General features: G+C 55.8%; 1 protein-coding gene across 9 annotated transcripts in view, besides 3 other annotated features; it reads right to left on the minus strand.

Annotated features, from left to right (window-relative positions):
• Positions 1 to 19,013, minus strand: part of VAV2 (vav guanine nucleotide exchange factor 2) — a 230,431-nt gene that overhangs the window by 135,924 nt on the left and 75,494 nt on the right. The window lies entirely within an intron of this gene.
• Positions 5,056 to 5,125: an enhancer, noted in NCBI's record as "active region_29255". NCBI's record gives its function as "activates an Ori minimal core promoter by ATAC-STARR-seq in GM12878 lymphoblastoid cells {active_cell/tissue: GM12878}" and the evidence as "EXISTENCE:reporter gene assay evidence [ECO:0000049][PMID:35858748]".
• Positions 17,024 to 17,973: an enhancer, noted in NCBI's record as "H3K27ac-H3K4me1 hESC enhancer chr9:136779963-136780912 (GRCh37/hg19 assembly coordinates)". NCBI's record gives its function as "activates a minimal SCP1, AML or CMV promoter by ChIP-STARR-seq in naive H9 embryonic stem cells {active_cell/tissue: H9 hESC(naive)}" and the evidence as "EXISTENCE:reporter gene assay evidence [ECO:0000049][PMID:30033119]".
• Positions 17,974 to 18,922: an enhancer, noted in NCBI's record as "H3K4me1 hESC enhancer chr9:136780913-136781861 (GRCh37/hg19 assembly coordinates)". NCBI's record gives its function as "activates a minimal SCP1, AML or CMV promoter by ChIP-STARR-seq in naive H9 embryonic stem cells {active_cell/tissue: H9 hESC(naive)}" and the evidence as "EXISTENCE:reporter gene assay evidence [ECO:0000049][PMID:30033119]".

Here is a 19,013-nt window from a genome sequence, read left to right on the forward strand (position 1 = left end):
TGGTATTAATGGAGTGAAGAAAAAACAACCCGCCCCCAGGCCTCCAGAATGTCTCCCTGCCAGGGAGACAGCAGCCTCTGCCAATTAAAACTCCTCTTCAGAAGCGTCCAGCACCCACCAACTTCAGAAAACCTGTGAAGGCAGAGACAGGCAGCTGGCTTGCTGGTGGTTGGAAGGGGCCCAGCAGGGCTTAGGGACACTCTGCCCAGACAGACCACGCAAAGCCTCCTACCAGGGAAGGCCACGATCACTTCCCCCTTTGAAAATCCCAAGCTCTTCCAACATACTGCATCCGGGTACCCTGAGGCTGGGAGGGACCTCGGAGATGGGCCTGCCCCGGGCTGCAAAGCACAGAGAAGGAAACTGAGGCCGGGCGGGCACAGGTTGATCTAGTGTCACCGGCAGCCGACAGGGTGGCCAGAGGGGCTCCAAGGCTGAGTCCAGCGCTTTCTCCACAACGCCAGACCCTCAACAGAAAGAGACTTTTTAGGGCGGATGTGGTGGTTCACACCTGTAATCCCAGCACTTTGGGAGGCTGAGGTGGGCGGATCACCTGACATCAGGAGTTCAAGACCAGCCTGGCCAACATGGCAAAACCTTGTCTCTACTAAAAAAAAAATACAAAAATCAGCCAGGCGTGGTGGCAGGTGCCTGTAATCCCACCTACTCAGGAGGCTGAGGCAGGAGAATCACTTGAACCCAGAAGGCAGAGATTGCAGTGAGCCGAGATCGTGCCACTGTACTCCAGCCTGGGCGACACAGCGAGACTCTGCCTCAAAAAAATAAAAAATAAATAAAAAGATCATTTTTAATCCCCTCAACTGGTATTTAAAATCATCAGTTGAATGGCGAGGTAGCTGGACTTTTTATGTGGTGCCCGGGGAAGCTTCCAGGCCTCATGAGGCCAGGCCTGAGCTGGTGCTGTGGCTCTCCTGGCAGGTTCCCCTGGTCAGAGCCACCACAGGCCGTGTCGGATCCAGGGAGGATGCAGACCCTGCCTTTTTTTTTTTTTTTTTTTTTTTTTGAGACGGAGTCTCGCTGTCTCCCAGGCTGGAGTTCAGTGGCGCAATCTCGGCTCACTGCAAGCTCCGCCTCCAGGGTTCTCACCATTCTCCTGCCTCAGCCTCCCCAATAGCTGGGACTACAGGCACCCGCCACCACGCCCGGCTAATTTTTTGTATTTTTAGTGGCGATGGGGTTTCACCACGTTAGCCAGGATGGTCTCGATCTCCTGACCTCGTGATCCGCCCGCCTCGGCCTCCCAAAGTGCTGGGATTACAGGCGTGAGCCACCGCGCCAGGCCCAGACCCTTCCTCTTGATGAGAGGAATCACAGAGAGTTTGTGGGTATCTTTAGTCTGCCTCAGGGTCCCCATCACAAACGCGGAATAACAATGTCTCTTCCAAGGCCCAGGAGGAGACGACCTGAGGAGACCCATGGGGAGCTGGGACTCCTCAGGCCGGGTGCAGTGGTTCATACCTGTAACCCCAGCACTTTGGGAGGCCGAGGTGAGTGGATCACTCGAGCCCAGGAGTTTGAGACCAGTCTTGGCAACATAGTGAGACCCCAACTCTACCAAAAATTTAATATATTTTATTTATTTATTTATGAGATGGGGTCTCGCTCTGTCACCCAGGCTGGAGTCCTATAGCACGATCTGAGCTCACCGCAATCTCTGCCTCCTGGGTTCAAGCGATTCTCATGCCTTAGCCTCCCAAGTAGCAAGAAGCTGGGATTACAGGCACCTGCCACCATACCCAGCTAATTTTTGTAGTAGAGACCGCGTTTCACCACGTTGACTAGGCTGGTCTCGAACTCCTGACCTCAGGCGATCCACCCACCTCGGCCTCCCAAAGTGCTGGGATTACATGCATGAGCCACCATGCCTGGCCTCTACCAAAAATTTAAAAATTAGCTGGGTGTGCCGGGCGTGGTGGCTCATGCCTGTAATCCCAGCACTTTGGGAGGCCGAGGCGGGTGGATCACGAGGTCAGGAGGTCGAGACCATCCTGACTAACACAGTGAAACCCCATCTCTACTAAAAGTACAAAAAATTAACTGGGCGTGGTGGCGGGCACCCGTAGTCCCAGCTACTTGGGAGGCTGAGGCAGGAGAATGGCGTGAACCCGGGAGGCGGAGCTTGCAGTGAGCCGAGATTGCACCACTGCACTCCAGCCTGGGCGACAGAGCAAGACTCCATCTCAAAAAAAATAAATAAATAAATAAATAAAAATAGCTGGGCATAGTGGCACATGCCTGTGGTCCCAGCTACTCGGGAGGCGAAGGCAGGAAGGATCACTGGAACCCACAGATCAAGGCTGCAATGAGCCACGATTACACCACTGCACTCCAGCCTGGGTGACAGAGTAAGACCCTGTCTCAAAAAAACCAAAGAAGAAAGAAAGAAAAGAAAAGTAAAACCATGGACCCATTTTAGGAACATTTCATGAAAAAAGCCACTCCTGAGGCCCCCTGGTAATACTGGGGCTCAGAAAACACTCCAACATGAAGGCCCTCCTGTCACTAGTTCCATTCTCCCCTGGAGCTGGCCATAGAAACTAGAATGCCTCTTCCCCCAAGCAGGTCTTAGAAACCAGAACCCCTTTCCCCTAAAGCCAGTCATCAAACCTAAAAATAATACTCTAACTGTCCCTCCACCCTATCTGTATAAAAACTGGCCATAAAGAAATTCCCTGACCTACCTTGTTTGACTGTAGGTCATAAGACCCACCATTCCAGAGAGGGTCCTGCCCCACACCCAGAAGGAAGGGGCGCGGCTCAGAGAGGCCAGTAAGAATCCAGGCTCATCTGCCTGCCCATGCTTTGTGGAACTTGCACATAAAAATGAGCAATTTCCCCTATCTTTGGGACTTTATTTAGAATGTTCCCCTGTATAAATGTTCAATCGCCTTGCCTTTTCTCCAATTAATCAATCTACCTCCTGTCTTGATTTATTTATTTATTTATTTATTTATTTATTTATTTATTTATGTATTTTTGAGACAGGGTCTTGCTCTGTCGCCCAGGCTAGAGTGCAGTGGCAGGATCTCAACTCACTGCAACCTCCGCCTCCCGGGTTCGTGCAATTCTCCTGTCTCAGCTCCCCCGAGAAGCTGGGATTACAGGTGCGTGTCATCACGCCCGGCTAATTTTTGTATTTTTAGTAGAGACGGGGTTTCACCGTTTTGGCCAGGCTGGTCTCCAACTCCTGACCTCAGGTGATCTGCCCGCCTCAGCCTCCCAAAGTGCTGATATCATAGGCATGAGCCACCGTGCCCAGCCTCTCCTGTCTGATTTTCCAGTGAACCTTAAGGGGGCCAAGGGCCTTAGCCCCAACACTCTCAACTGATATTGAAAACCATGGCCCAGTTTTAGGAACATTTCATGTAAAAGCACCACTCCGGGGGCCCAGTGGTCACAATGGCGACCATTTATTGGGCGCTTGCCATTCAACAGGCCGGCTACCCACTCCCCACGGGTCTCCTCAGATCGTCTCCTCCCGAGCCTCAGAAGAGGCATGGTTATTCCCCGTTTGTGACAGGGACCCTGAGGCAGAGTAAAGATGGCTGCACACTCTCTGAGACTCCTCCCATCAAGAGGCAGGGTCTGTGTCCTCCCCGGATCCAGCATGGCCTGTGGTGGCTCTGACCAGGGGAGCCTGTCGGGAGAGCCATGGCACCACCTCGAGCCTGGTCTCATGAGGCCTAGAAGCTTCCGTGGGTGCCACATAAAAAAGTCCAACTACCTTGCCAGAGAGCCCACATGGGGAGGCTGGCCCTGAGCCGCAGGGGCCTCTCCTGCCCTCCAGCAAGGGCCCGGAGCTGCCCTGAGGGGCTCCTGCCGGCCCGGCCTGGTGACTCTACCTAGGTCTGTAGGCACTGGGCTGGGCCCATCCCTCCTGGGGTATTTATTTCCCCCACTGTTCTGACACCAGGCCCTCCCGTAAGCACAGACAGCCCTGCTGTCCCTGACTCTGGAACCCCAGCGCCCACTGCCACATTCTACCTTTTCCCAGGAGACGGGCCGATGGGGTCAGTGGCAATGTGCCACCACCATCGGAGGGGGCTGGGGGTGGGGAGGACAGCTGCGCTCCAGAGGCCAAAGGAGATGGGCCGACGTCCCTACCATGCACCTCCTCCTACCACACATCTCTGCCTGCCTTAGTGGTCTGCACGTCAGGAGACTCTGTGGATGCTCCGAGCCTCCATGTCCTACAGGTCAGACCAGAACCTCCCACCCCCACCTCTCTGGGCCAAAAGTGACACAGTTTCGTCAGGACCATGGAGATCACAGACTTGGACCCAGGAAGACCCAATTTAAGGCCAGGCCCATCAGCTCCCCCTGCAATTGGCCTCCCTGAGACCCAACTTCATTGTCTATACACTGGGATAGGAACGGGCATCTGCGTCGGACGTGTGAGGACCACGCAGGACAATCCACACAACATGCACAGGGCCTGGGACATGTCAGAAGCCTCTGCTGCAGGACACAGGACACCTGGCCCCACGAAGGCAGAGCCCTCTGAATTTGACCAAACCTCCTCCATGCAGACACGGCTGCGGCCTTGGGGCTACCACATCCCCAGATTTGCGGAGCCTGAAATGCGGCCAGCACTGGAAGCGGGGAGACTCCCACATTGAGATGTTTCTGTTCTCCCAGAGCTCCAGTAGAGAAAATGTTCACCCACAAACCCCCCAGGGTATCCAGAGGCCAGGGGTGCTGGGGTGCAGGCTGCAGACAGGTTCCCACATTTGGTGCAGGGGAAGACACACATCTGCTCAAAAGAAAAATGAGGGAGTGTTTCGGGTTGAACTGTGTCCCCTCAAAAAAGATACATAGGGGTGCTAATCCCCAGGACCTCAGAATTTAACCTTACTTGTACAGAGACTTCAAAGAGAAATCAAGTTAAAATGTTGTCACTGGGGTGGGACCTAATCCAATATGACCCGTGTCCTTATAAAAAGAGGAAGTTTGCCAGGCGCAATGGCTCACGCCTGTAACCCCAGCACTTTGGGAGGCCAAGACAGGTGGATGGATCACTTGAGGTCAGGAGTTCAAGACCAGCCTGGCCAACGTGGTAAAACCCCATCTCTACTAAAAATACAAAATTAGCTGGGTGTGGTGATGCACACCTGTAATCCCAGCTACTAGGGAGGCTAAGGCAAGAGAATCACTTGAACCCGGGAAGTAGAGGTTGTAGTGAGCCAAGATCAGGCCACTGCACTCCAGCCTGGGCAACAAGAGCGAAACCCTGCCCCAGGAAAAAAAAAAAAAAAAAAGAGGTAGTTTGGACACAGAGATAGGCACAGAGGAAAGACGACAAGAATACAAAAAGAGAAGACGCCGTCTGCAAGCCCAGGAGAGTGCCCCGGGACACAGTCTCCCTGTGCCCCAGAAGGCACCAGCCCCGCCGCCACCCTGATCTCAGACTTCCAGCCTCATTTCGGTTCCAGTACATTTCGGTGGTTTCACAGGGCTCCTTCCCTCCCCGCTGCACTGTCCCTCGGGCCCCTTCCTCTACCCCACGCTGGGTGGTGCTCCCGGCTCAGGGTCCCATGCCCACCCTGCACCGGGATTCCCTCTGTGAGGGCGTGCCAGGTCTGCCCCATCCCCTGGAGCCCCACATCAGGCTCAAAAGACAGGGGCTGAAACAACAATCCCGGGAGATGTGACGGCCACATCACCTGCCAGTCAGGAGAGGTTTTGTATCACTTAGAAAATATGGGGGTGGGGGCTGCACACAAGCCTTTTCTGGGGTTCTCAGGACACAAAGTCGGACATGGCCTCAGCCAGCCTCGGGTCCGGTGGCTCACAGAGGCTCACCTGGTTTTGAACCATAAAGAAATTTAGCAAAGGTCTACCCCTGCTCCTAGGGCTCTGATCTCACAAGCGTGGGCGTCACTGAAAAACAGCGTCAGAAAAAATTCTCAACAGGGGGATGCTGGCGAGGGAAAAGGGGTCCCTGGAGGGCAGAAAAATCCACTTCGTCAGGTCCACACTGAGACCCGGAGAGGGCTCGGGGAGGCAGAGACCCTGAGCTTGAAAGCCAGGGGAAGAGTTTGAAGAAACCCATTTCACACACTGAGTAAAAAAGGGCAACTTACAAGAACATGTTATTTTCATGTTTTTAAAGATGTAAACGATTGAGCAAATTAAATATTTAAGTAAATGTTGAACTACTTCATCTATCCCTAAAAGCTTATAAAATCATGTTGACCAAGAAACTTAAAATCCTCTTACTGGGAAAGGGGTGGAACCAGCTTGTATTTTGAGCTGCTTCCTATCCGGGTAAATTCTGTGCCCCAAATCACAGATGAGCGAATGGGGCTCCAGCCCGTGTCCTGGTGGGCCGGCTCCAGCCCAAGCGCCAGGCTCTCCCCCAGAGCTCCGCATTCTAAAGGGAACCACTCTGCCACACACAGCTTTGTTCTTCTGGGAGACCCCTCTAGAGAACTGAAGAGCAAATGCTATTTCTAGACGCTCTAAGACATTAAAAAGACACAGAAGAATCCCAAGTCCTCCCTTTCAAAACCTCAATGCATCTAATATACCAATAAAAGCGACCATCAACGCCTCACTTTCTGAGTTCATGTCCTCCAGGGTCCCGTGAAATTCAAACCAGGAAGCACCCGGAATCACTCCCAGACGACCACGTGGAATTCGATGAGTGAGCAGGCTCAGGACGGCAAATGCACTTGCAGGAAAGCAGCCCCTGCAACAAAGCACGTGTCCAGCCGAGCCCAAACGTGGGCACCAGGCACGTGGGCACAGGCATGCAGGCATGCAGCACACCCTCTCCCAGTGGAGTCGGACGACATGCCCGCTGCTCCCAGGACACAGCAACCGGCCACGGGGCCGTCGGGTGCCAGGTGTGCAGCCAGGGCTCCGTCCTCCCCGCAAGCTTCTCAATGCACCACTACTGTCCAAGCTGCTGAGTCAGTGCTGAGGGCCCCGTGAAGCTCACCTCCCCAAGAAGGCCCCAGAGTACCGGGGTGTGAACAGAAGCCCTCTCTGGGCCTCTAGGCACAAAATACTCTTTCGCCTGAGTAAATGATGGTGTTTTTGGCCCTCGTCCACCATACAGGGCCACAGCACCAGCACTGCTGCACTGGGCAGTCAGACTTGGGGCCCTGGCAGGGAGGGGATGCAGGGAGCGCTTGGGACACTGGTGAAGGGAGAGGGTGCATCTTGTGGCTTGGGCAGTGCCACGGGCAGCACCACACGTGGAGGCTTCTCCCAGGGCGGGGGGCTCTGAGCAGCTGCCCTGTGCAAAGTCACTCACCAAGCCCTGGCCCACACTTCACAGCACCACAGCCAGAACAGTGGCTCAGCCGGGCGCGGTGGCTCACGCCTGTAATCCCAGCACTTCGGAAGGCCAAGGCGGGTGGATCACCTGAGGTCAGGAGTTCGAGACCAGCCTGGCCAACACGGTGAAACCCCATCTCTACTAAAAAAAAAAATACAAAAAATTAGCCGGGCGTGGTGGCGGGCACCTGTAGTCCCAGCTACTCGGGAGGCTGAGGCAGGAGAATGGTGTGAACCCAGGAGGCAGAGCTTGCAGTGAGCCAAGATTGTGCCACTGCACTCCAGCCTGGGTGACAGAGTGAAACTGTCTCAAAAAAAAAAAAAAAAAGAAACAAAAGAAGAAGAACAGCAGCTCTGGGTCAGGGAGGGGCCTACCAAGGACATGATGCCATCCTGAGCCCAACATGCCCATCCCTTCTCCCCAGCTCCAGCTGCCTAGGCCCTGCCGACTGCCATTGCCCTTCCTTCCTGCCAGCCTGGAGACTGAAGCAGCACAGAAATGACCTGGAAGACCCTCAGGGCCCTGTGACATCTGGGGAGCTGATGGACAATGGGGCCTGAAGACCAGCCCTGGGGGGTAGCCACCTCTGTAGTGGATCACTGGGGCTGCAGCACAGATGAGGCTCCTATAGCTGGGCGAGGTGACTCACACGCCTGTAATCCCAGCACTTTGGGAGGCCGAGACAGGAGGATCACTTGAGCCCAAGAGTTCAAGACCAGCCTGGGTAACGTGGCGAAACCCCATCTCTACAAAAAAAAATACAGAAATTAGCCGGGCGTGGTGGTACACAACTGTAATCCCAGCTACTTGGGAGGCTGAGGTAGGAGGATCTCTTGAGCCTGGGCGGTAGAGGCTGTAGTGAGCCATGATCGCGCCACTGAATCCAGCCTGGGCAACAGAGTGAGACCCTGTCTCAAAATATACAAAAAAAGAAAGAGGTTCCTACAAGGAAACTGCCTGACCCTTAGACCTTCCAGACGGTAAGTCTGGAGGTATCGGCAGTCCCCAGTGTGGCGTGGATCCCAAAAGCTACAGGTGCTGGCCCCTCCATGGCCTGGGGCTCTGTGGGGACCTTCAAACATCCCTGCACACATCACCGTGTGCCTGCACTATCTGCCAGGGTCAAAATGCCCAAGACAGTGATGGAAACGCAGGGCTGTTTTCCACGAGGGGACCTCTATTAAACGCAGCCACATCTCCCAGTGTGGGAGGAATCGTGGTGTTGACAATGTGAGCCATGTCATTTGCCCCTCCTGCTCCAAATGCAAGTTCTAGGCCCATCACAGTCCTCCGGGGAGCCGCCCCCGCCCTGCCCACTCGCCCCACTGACAGCTCAGACTGCACCAAGCAGGAAGGCTGCAGAGAGCCAGCCAGGACCCCCAGCTTCAATCCTGCAAGGACGTGGGAGCCACTGGGCCCGATCAGCCGGCAATGAAACCAGGTCCATGAAAACACTGATGAGACCATGGTTGGGCGGAGCCTCAAGGCACCCCTGAGGCCAAGAGACTGACCCCACACCCTGGACCTCTGCACACAAAACTGGAATCCACATCTCCCCAAGTCACCCATGACCTCACGCCGCAGAACCTGGCACAGCTCACAAGTCAGAACCACAGACACAAAACCCAGTGGCGCCTGGAGAGCTGGGGGCAGCGGGGTCCCTGCGGAGCCAGGCTCTGGGTCCTCAGCCCTCCCTTCTGACGTGCGGAGACCCATGGCTCTACACCGGGGGCCACTCAAGTCACTGCAGCTGAGACACTTTGGGGACCCTCGCCCCGTCCCATCCCTTCACAACAGACAGACATAGAGACCTGCAGGAGCAGGGACCCTGGCCTGCCACTGGGCCCAGCGAGCCCCTCCGTGAGTGATGGCCGCTATGCTGCTCGGCCCCCTCAGGCCTGCCTCAGCCTGGCTGGCCGGCGGCGGGGGGAGGGACAAGGACCTGGTGTGGCCCTCTGGTGTCCACACTCTCTTGTCCATACCTCCTTCAGCCAAGGCCCCAAACATGTTGCCAAGAGCAGTGACGACAGGGAGATGGCTGCCGGTGCCAGCCCACGCTGGGCACACAGACACATGCGGCCCCAGCACCTCAAATTCATCCTCGCTCCCTACAGACCATCGAACCCAGCAAGCCCTGCCCTGCCCAGGCCAACAAGCCCACCAGGCCAGCTCAGAGCCCTCAGGCCACACCAGAGGAAGGCCACTGCTCCCCAAGGCCCCTCCCGGATGCCGGTCACTCCATCCCATCACGGTTCAAGCCCAGGCCGATCCTGGCTGGCACTTGTCCCTCATACAAAAGACAGAAGGAACCTCACAGCCACGCCCCAGCTGACCTTGGTGGCCTGGAGACAGAATCAGGAGAAAGCTCTTTAATCCAGCTGGTTCAGCAAACCCAGGAGACTAGCTCCTCGGCTGACTAACTTTAAGCTCCACCACGTTGGAAAGCCCCCTGGGAGATGTTTTAGGGGATGGGAGAAGGCCTCGCTGGAATCAAAACTGATTTATGGACTCTGGAGGGGACGCTGACATTTCCTAGATCCACCGCCATCCTCGTAAATCAATTCCCACTCTCCGCTCGGCTCGGGCCATGCCAGCCTTTGTAAAGAAATGCCAAGCCTAATGAGTTTTGAAACAACCAGGCTGAAAGTAACAAAGAGAATGCCAGTCATTGGCAGTCCAACTGCAGTGGCACAGACGGCACAGTGGGGAGAGCCGGGGGCGCCCCTCCCACCCCACCCCCTTTCCTTTACCGCCCTCCCCCAGAGAGTGGAGGGAGGGCCTGGGGCACCCCTCCCACCATGCCCCCCTTCCTTCACCACCCTCCCCCAGAGAGTGGAGGGTCTGAAGGCGCCCCTCCCACCCCACCCCCCTTCCTTCTCTGCCTTCCCCCAGAGAGTGGAGGGAGGGTCTGAAGGCGCCCCTCCCACCCCACGCCCCCTACCTTCTCTGCCTTCCCCCAGAGAGTGGAGGGAGGGTCTGGGGGCACCCCTCCCACCAAGCCCCCCTTCCTTCACTGGCCCCCCAAAGAGTGGAACTGGGTGGAGGCTAAAGTGAGGGGTAGCCCTCCCCTTTGAAGTGGCACCATAGTCCTTGCGGCCACTTAAAGCATGAGCTCCAAGGGGCCAGGAGATGGGCGGAGATGGGGTGAGCCTGGACCCGCAGCAGGAAAAGACAGAGGGAAAATGCCACCCTAGAAACTGAGACTTCGTTCCCCAGCATTGCCACACCCAAAGCTGAAACCCCCCATGCGAGGCCAGTGGGCACCCTGTCCTTCCCCAGTGGGGGCCCTCGGTCACTCAACCTCACACCCTCTTCCCCTGGAAATCTCCCCTCACCTCTCAGACCTTTCCCTGATGCCCCCAAGCCAGACAAGGACCCGCCCCCCAACTGCAGTGACCACCCCAACCTGGTGTCCACCCCCAGCCCATCCTAGGCCCCCACAGCACCACCTGGTACACAAAGGCACCCTGCACCAAGCCCAGAGCTTCCTTGGAAGTCTGGAATCTTTGAACCTAACGGCCCAGGAAGACTCAGGGAGTGGAAGGCAGCAGGCTGTAGTGGGTCTGCGCCTCCACTATGGGAACCGCTGGGAGGGCGTCCCCACGCCCTTGCCAGCGCTGCACCCCTCTGAGGCAGACGCAGCTACAAACCAGGTGCCAGGAGCAGGCCCCCTCGGGAGCGGACTTCCAACCGCTTGCCTGGTTTGGTTTTGCAGCCCCTGCAGTTCTGAAAATGTGTGGGGACCCAGGCACCCACAATCTGGTGAGGGCAAGGCCATTGTGGGCCCAGTGGGCATGCAGGCAGCTGCGCTCCCAGAATCTCCACACAGAACTCACACCTTCCACTAAAAGGGGCAGGGACCCACGAGGAATGATTGGGAATGAACCTGATCCGGTAAGAACATCGAACTCAAAAAGAAATTAACTTTGAATTACAAAACTGCAAAGTAGGGACCCAACTCCAGGCACCCCTAGCAATCGCGAGGAAGGATGGATTTGGCTGGCCCAGCCTGGCAGAGGAAGCATTTGATGAAGATGGTTATTGACTCATTCCGAGAACTGTCTCCCGGTGGAGACAAATCTGGACATGGGGAGGTTGGGCTGGGTGTTTTGGTCTCATTGCCTCCTCAGAAGGGGGGTGAAGATGTGAGCGGCCTCCCCCAAGTCCCTGGCCTGGAAGCCACTCACAGAGCTGAGTTTGAGTCCTGGAGCTCAGCAGGAGGTTCAAAACTCAGTTCTCGCACTGCTAACTGTGGGAGCAACTAACAATCTCTCTCTGCCTCTGTTTCTCCATCTGCAAAATGGATCAGGGTAGGTCAACTACTGCAGCAAACAAAGCCTGGAGCTAAATACCATCCAGCTATGGGCCCCACCTCAATGAGCCACACAGAGTGCTCAGAACAGCGCCTAGCACAAATCTGTGCCCACTGCAGGTTCGCGAGGATGGAAGGCTGTGCCATCCACAAGAGATAGCCAGCGGCTATCTCTTCCTCCTTGTCACTGACAACATGAACGCAGAGCTTGCAGACTAGATGGTCCGACTGGGCAAAGAGGGGGAGACAGCCTTACAGAAGATGGCAGACACACGGTGTGTGAGGCCGGAAGAAACACTCTGCCCTGAGACTCCTCTCCTCTATTTGGAAACTGCGCCTGAGGATTGTATTAATATTTCCATTGATTAACATGCCCTCTTACATCCCAAAACACATGCATTAACTTCAGATTCTTTATGTGTGCCAAGAAGGATGAGCCTGCCACTCACTCTCTGTCCTTCGCTTGGCTGCTCACAGGGCAAGGGCAGGGCTGGGGGCCTCCCATCCTCCATCCTCCCCTGCATCCTTACCAGCTATGCTAGCACTCCATCAGACAGCCCCCCACGAGCCACACGAGCTATGCCAGGCCATGTGACTAGAATCTGGCCAATAAAGAGGAATTAACACAGTGACTGGAGCTTCTGAAAAGTCGGCTTCAATGAATCAGCTTCCCCCACCCCAGCCCTCTCTATTGCCTAGAATGAAGAAGTGATGGCTGGAGCTCTTGCAGCCATTGTGAACCATGACCATGAGGATGGAAGAGGTAGAACAAGAAGCTGGGTGCACCTGGGTCCCTGAGACTATGGCACCGTCACCCCTATTCTAGACTGCCTACCTGCAACCCTCCAAGACGAACAAACCCTGGTGAGTTTCGGCTCCTGATGTACTGGGGTTTTTGTTAGAAGCAGTCAAGCCTACTCTAACTGGCGCAAGCTGCGAGTTCAGACCTTCCAGATGGAGGCACTGGACTGAAGGGGGCACCGTGCGGTGGGCTCTCTCATGTAACCGGCACCAAGCCCATTTGACAGATGAGGTGCCAAGGTTCAGTGAGTCACTTCCCCAGAGTCACACAGCTAGAAAATCAGGGACAGAAGGCTGGGCGCGGTGGCTCACACCTGTAATCCCAGCACTTTGGGAGGCTGAGGCCGGCGGATCACGAGGTCAGGAGATCAAGACCATCCTGGCTAACACGGTGAAACCCCGACTCTACTAAAAAAAAAAAAAAAAAATTACAAAAACTTAGCCGAGCGTGGTGGCGGGCGCCTGTAGTCCCAGCTACTCGGGAGGCTGAGGCAGGAGAATGGCGTGAACCCGGGAGGTGGAGCTTGCAGTGAGCCGAGATTGCACCACTGCACCCCAGCCTGGGCGACAGAGCGAGACTCGGTCTCAAAAAAAAAAAAAAGAAAAAGAAAAAGAAAACTGGGGACAGAAATGCAGTCAGAGTTGTCTGCACTGGTACAGAGGCGGGCACGGGAGTCTAACACAGTCCCGCAGACCGCAAGCCCATCCCAGCACACCGTGTTTGTCTATGGGTCACGGCAGTGATGGGACAGAGCCAGAGATGAAGCTACAGCTGGGAGCGCCGTGGCCTCCTGAGCACCCCAGCTCCTGGCCAGGCTACATGGGCTGCAGGAAGCAGGGCCGGGCACGCCCCTTCTTGGGAGCACAGGTCTGATCTCTACAGTTTCATATTTACCGAAAGGAATGTATTCACGCGTGCACTGGGGACCGGAAGCACATTTTTAATAAAAACTAAAAAGGAAAGAGCCTGCCTCACTCACTAAGCAAGTCCCACCAGGAACACACCCGTTCCCCAGCCCTTCGCCCTGGAGCGTGCTGCCCGGGAGAACTTTCTGTGAAGAGAGAAACGCCGTGTCTGTGCTGCGGATGCCTGGGCCGCCAGCCACACACAGCCTGCACACGTGAAATGCGGCTGGTGAGACTAAGACCTTGACGTTCAACTGCATTGAATTTACCAGACCTGTATTAAATTTACCATACCTCTATGGAGGTATGATCCACAGACGATAAGCTGCACACCCTCCAGAGAGTGTCATGTCCTTATTTTTACATATGTACACACCCGTGACACTGTCAACACAGTCAAGACGGTGAACATATTCACCGGCCCCAAAATGTTTTCTAGTGCCCACTGGTGACCCCCCACTGTATGGCCAGTGTCACTCCTGAGGCCTAAGTCAGGGTGGCAGGCACTTTAGCTGTGCATCAGGTAACTCGTCTTTCCTGCTCCCCCATCAACCTCCTGACCTCTGCATCACACACACACTAAAGACGCCATGTCCAAAAGTAAGCGCATTAAACAAGGTCCGCCTGGGCGGGGAGGGCTGCTCGTCAGCACAGGCCTTCAGCAAGAGCCTCAGGGATGCCAGTTACCAACCACACACCGAATGTCCTCCAAACCCACTCTCACGTGGCCCAGAGCCCCACAGGTCAGGATTGCCCAGGCCAAGAAAGTAAGTCAGATTTTCTTTTTTTTTATTTCCAACTTTTAAGTTCAGGGGTACACGTGCAGGATGTGCAGGTGTGTTCCATAGGTAAACGTGTGCCATGCTGGATTGCTGCACAGAGCATCCCATCACCTAGGTATTAGGCCTGGCATCCATTAGCTATCTTTCCTGATCTCCTCCCTGCCCTCCAAAGATGGCTGATTTTCAAAGATGGGGTGTCAGCTGAGCTCAGGACAGCCACCAGCTCCCGCTGGTGAACTTAGATCAGCTGCGGCTACAGTCCCGGCCTCCAACACACGTGGGAGAAGGGCTGACAACCAGGAGTGTTTTAGTACAAAACAGACAAACCAGAAACCTACGGCATCAGGACACCGTCACCGGAGGATGGTCCAAGAAGGCGGGAAGGCCTTCCAGGTCTGGGAACATGAGACCCGGGCTGAACACGAGGCTATGTCCGTCCAAATCCCCACAGTCCTGCCACACAAACGAGCCGGAGGCTTCTGGAGGACAGTGTGCCTAGATGAAGGAACCAGGACGCAGTGGCGCTTTTCCATCTGTACCCCAACATGTCAGGGTATATCAACACCCATATGTCACTGGTGCTGGGTCCGAGCATGGGAGCTGCAGCCAAATTCTGGGGGTGGGGGCACACGGGGAGAGGTTCCTGCACCCTAACGTGTTGCTTCTCTGCCCATTTCAATCGCGGAACACAAATTACACGTGTGATGCTCTTCTCCACGTGTGCACAGCACTCCCGAGGCGCTCCCAAGCTGTCAGGCAGCCATCCTCAGGGGCTGCAGTCACCGGTGGTTGACTATTAGGGGGGATAGTTGTGTTCTTTTATTTCTGCACTAAGCTAATAAGTACTTGTTCAGCCCCTCTAAAATCACAATCGTCCTGTCCTCGTTCCGTCCCTCTAAAATCAGAGTCGTCCTGTGAGCCAGTGACCACTCGTCCCAAACATAGCTTCTATTCATCAGAATCAGGGCTCCTGATCCTGGTGACTTTAAGGAGGAAAATCCAACTTCAGCCAGCACAGTCCACGGGCGGTGGAGTGCCATTTGGAACCGGGTTTGGGAGGCAGGCACTGTCCTCTGAAGGCCCAGCCTGACCCTGCACACCCAGGGCTGTTCGCAGACCGTGCAAACCTCACCTCACTTCCAAGACAAACGTCAGCTTTGGGTGGAGCCCTTTGCCCCCTCTTCCTCTCCAGGGAGCTGGCACTCTGAGAGGGGCGCCCCCAACACCCACCTCTGGTGAGACAATGTCCCAGAGCCCAGTGTTTTGGTGACTCTGGGCTGGAACACCCCCTGTGCTCCCAAACAACGGCTCATAGCTGGCGCCACGGCCCCCATGAGAAGGACGATAAAAACACGCGTTGCCACCACACAGAACGGGAGACACACACGAAAGGTAAGACAGGAAGGTGGGAACGATCGCAGGCACCAGCCACCTGGCAGTCAGCACAGAAGGGACCTCACTACACCAGCGAGAAGAAGAAACCAAAGTCCTTGTCAGGGGTGGTGCGCGCTTCCTGGTGCCCCACTCCGGAGGCTTCTATGCCAGGGATGCCAATCAGAATCTTCAAGGGCGGTTTCTCCAAAAAGTGCAGAAATGACCGATCCTTTGCCCCATCTGCCCTTGGTAAAAAACCAAAGGCAGAGCCTGCGCACATGGTCCCAGGAGGCGGGGGACCGGACGCGCACACAGTAGGTGCACAATCGACACTCATCACGGAACCTGCCAGTTTTCTGAAGACCTACAGGGAGGGGGCAAAGTCAGGGCAAACAGCAGGGCCACGACTGAGAACTCCCAACCCCATGGAGATGCTCAGATGCCAGGCCTTGGGCACCGCGCCCAGGTCAGTGAGCCTCGGGGCCGGCTGTACGCTCGTGGGAGCTGACACTGCCATTGGGGGCAGCCATGGTGGGATATTCGGGAAGCAGGTGAGCAAAGGAGGAGCAGGAGGTGGAGCCCGCAGCAGACAGAGGCCCAGCAATGCCAGCCTGGCTGTCCTCAGCCACTCCCCCAGACTCTGCCTCCCACCTCCCTGGAGCTCTTCGAAGGGGTTTCTGTTTGGTCCCCACTCCAAGAGCCGCTGGCTATGACTTAACATTATCCTGAAACGTAAACCAACAAGCAACCAAAGACGATGCTCACCGCAAACCCCTGAGACCCTAAGCCCCAGGAGGTGCCCTGGACAGTCCAGCTCAGTCAGAAAGGCCAGCCTCCAAACCCAGCATGGGCTGCCTGGGGCTTCGAGACAGATGTGTCTCACAGCGGGCTAAGCACACATCAGAAAAGGCAGCACTCACTGGGCCAGACACAGAATTACCGTGAAGCCCAGCAATCCCGCTCCTGGGTATGTACCCAACAGGATGGGAAGACAGGTGTTCAGAAATGCACCGGGACACGAATGTCCCCAGCAGTGATCTTCACAGTGGCCAAGAAATGTAGACACCCCAAATGTTCATCAGCAGACGGATGGATAAACAAAACGTGGTCTACCTGGACCGTGGAATATTCTTCAGCCAGAAGAAGGAACGAAGCGCTGACTTAGTGAGCCTGGAGGACACCACACTCAGGGGAAGATGCAGACTCAAAGGGCGCGCAGCGTGTGACTCTGGTGACCAAGGGCAGTGGGGATGGGGTGGGGGTGACGGCTGCCAAGGGATGGGATTTCTGCTGTGTGTATTCCTACCACCAGAGAGAGAGAGGAGGGGGAGAGGAGGGGAGGAAGCAGGAAGCAGGGGAGGGGGGAGGGGAGGAAGCAAGGGATGGGGGAGGGAAGCGGGAGGGGAAGGAGAGGGGAGGGATCACGGGAGGGGGAGGAGAGGGAAGGGGAGGGGAGAGGAGAGGAGGGGAGGAGGGGACGGGAGGGGAGAGGAGGAGGAGAGGGGAAGGGAGAAGGGGAGGGGAGGGGAGAGGTTGGCATTCACTTCTCTATCTCTGTTGCCGTCCCACAGCTCCACAAAGTGGAGAGGGAGGTTTGGGACTTTGGAACAGGTGAATGTGACCAAGGTCACCGGTCCACTCAGCGCCACACCAGTGCTGGGCCAAGCGGCATCAAACCCAGGACAGCTCGCACGGGGGGAAGGACCTGGGAGGGAGCAGGGAAGCACGGGTGCTGTGTCTGGGAATCTTGAAAACACCAAGGAGTGCTTTGAAACAGGCCGCTTGGCCGGAAGAGCACCGGCCTGTTCTCCATTAGTGTCCCCTTTTCCTGGCTCAGGGAGTTCACACCCACTTTCTGACGCCTTGACTCTAGTCCTCATTGGCTCTGGGGACATCAGGGAATTCTCCATGGTGGGGCAGAGTGGGGACATCCACAGCTGGAAGCCACAGTCAGCCCCCACACCACCGTCCCGCCCTCCTTGTGATCACGTGGTTTCACGACTACACTTTTTGAATTCCCGGCAGCCACCATCCACACCCCTCAACCTGATATTTTCAAGGGGATTCAGCACGATCTGGCGTTCTACAGACTCCACCTGCCAACGGCCAGCTGACTTTCTCCCAAGGAGCACAGGTGGTGCAATGAGGAAGTCTCTACTGAAAAAAATGCCGGACAAGGGGCTGTGCCCACTTTACAAAGCACCCTGAAAACAGGAGCCCTCACTGGGCCCCTTGTCTCCATGGAGAAGACCCCTAGAAAAACTGGTGCCAGTCTCAAAGACAAGGCGCACACACACACACTCCCACACAATGCACACATAATGCACATGTGCACACGCACACGATGTACATGTACACGACGCACACATGCACACACACACAATGCACACGTGCACACACAATGCACAGACGCACACGATGTACATGTACACACAACGCACACATACACACACGATGCACACATACACACAATGCACACACGCACACGATGTACATGTACACACGATGCACACATGCACTCACACACGCACACGTGCACACACAACGCACACACACACGATGTACATGTACACGCGACCCACACATGCACACTCACACACGATGCACACGTGCACACACAATGCACACATGCACACGATGTACATGTACACACGATGCACACACGTACACATACACACTCACACGATGCACACATGATATACATGTGCACACATGCACGGAATGCACACAAGGCACCCATGCACACTCACACACAATGCACATGCACACAAGATACACACGTGCACACACGCACCTTCCCTTCTGAAGGAAGCCTGGCAGGAAACGGGCACAGGCCACGGCTGCTCCCCCAGGGAGAATGGAGGGAAGGAGGGGCTTTGCTCAAACACGCCTCTCTGCTCCTAGCCAGCGGGGTTATCCAAGGCTCCATGGAGGAGGCGGACAGGCAACACCGAGCTGGGCTTGGTCCCACTCGATAAGAAGGAAGAAAGGCGCAAGATGAATTGCCCGCGGAGCCTGTGACTTGCGCTGAATGCTAACTGACAGTGATTCACTTGGAAAGTTTCTCTCCACGGGATAAAGCCCTCTTTGTAGAAAGGGAAGGTGGTGGGTGCCAACGAGGGCCCGGGCGCACAGGCCCAGGACTAACAAAAGCGTCGGCGTCACCATCCCAGAGCCTGGCTCTCTGCCACCCTGGGAAGTGCTGGGACTCTTGCTGGGAAGCTGGGCAGTTTGAGGATGTGGGGCTGGGTGAGTGGGGGTCTCACTGGTGATATGGATGGAGAAGGGGAAAGGAGGGGGTGAACAGAGAAAGGGAGAGAGAAGAGCCGGGAGTGCCTGTGTATTGATCCCAGAAGCTGAGCTGGAAGAAAGAGTTGGCTAGAGGCTCACGGCTGGGCCTCCAGGACCAGCACAACTTTGTCGGTTCCCCTGCAAAGGACACCCCGGATGCCTCCAGCCATGCAAAAAGCATTAATTAAGTACCTTCTGAATGCAGATGTTGGGACTGTTTAGGTCAAGGGGTGTGAAGGAA

The sequence above is a fragment of the Homo sapiens genome, chromosome 9 (assembly GCF_000001405.40).
Source record: "Homo sapiens chromosome 9, GRCh38.p14 Primary Assembly".
Taxonomy (NCBI): Eukaryota; Metazoa; Chordata; class Mammalia; order Primates; family Hominidae; genus Homo; species Homo sapiens.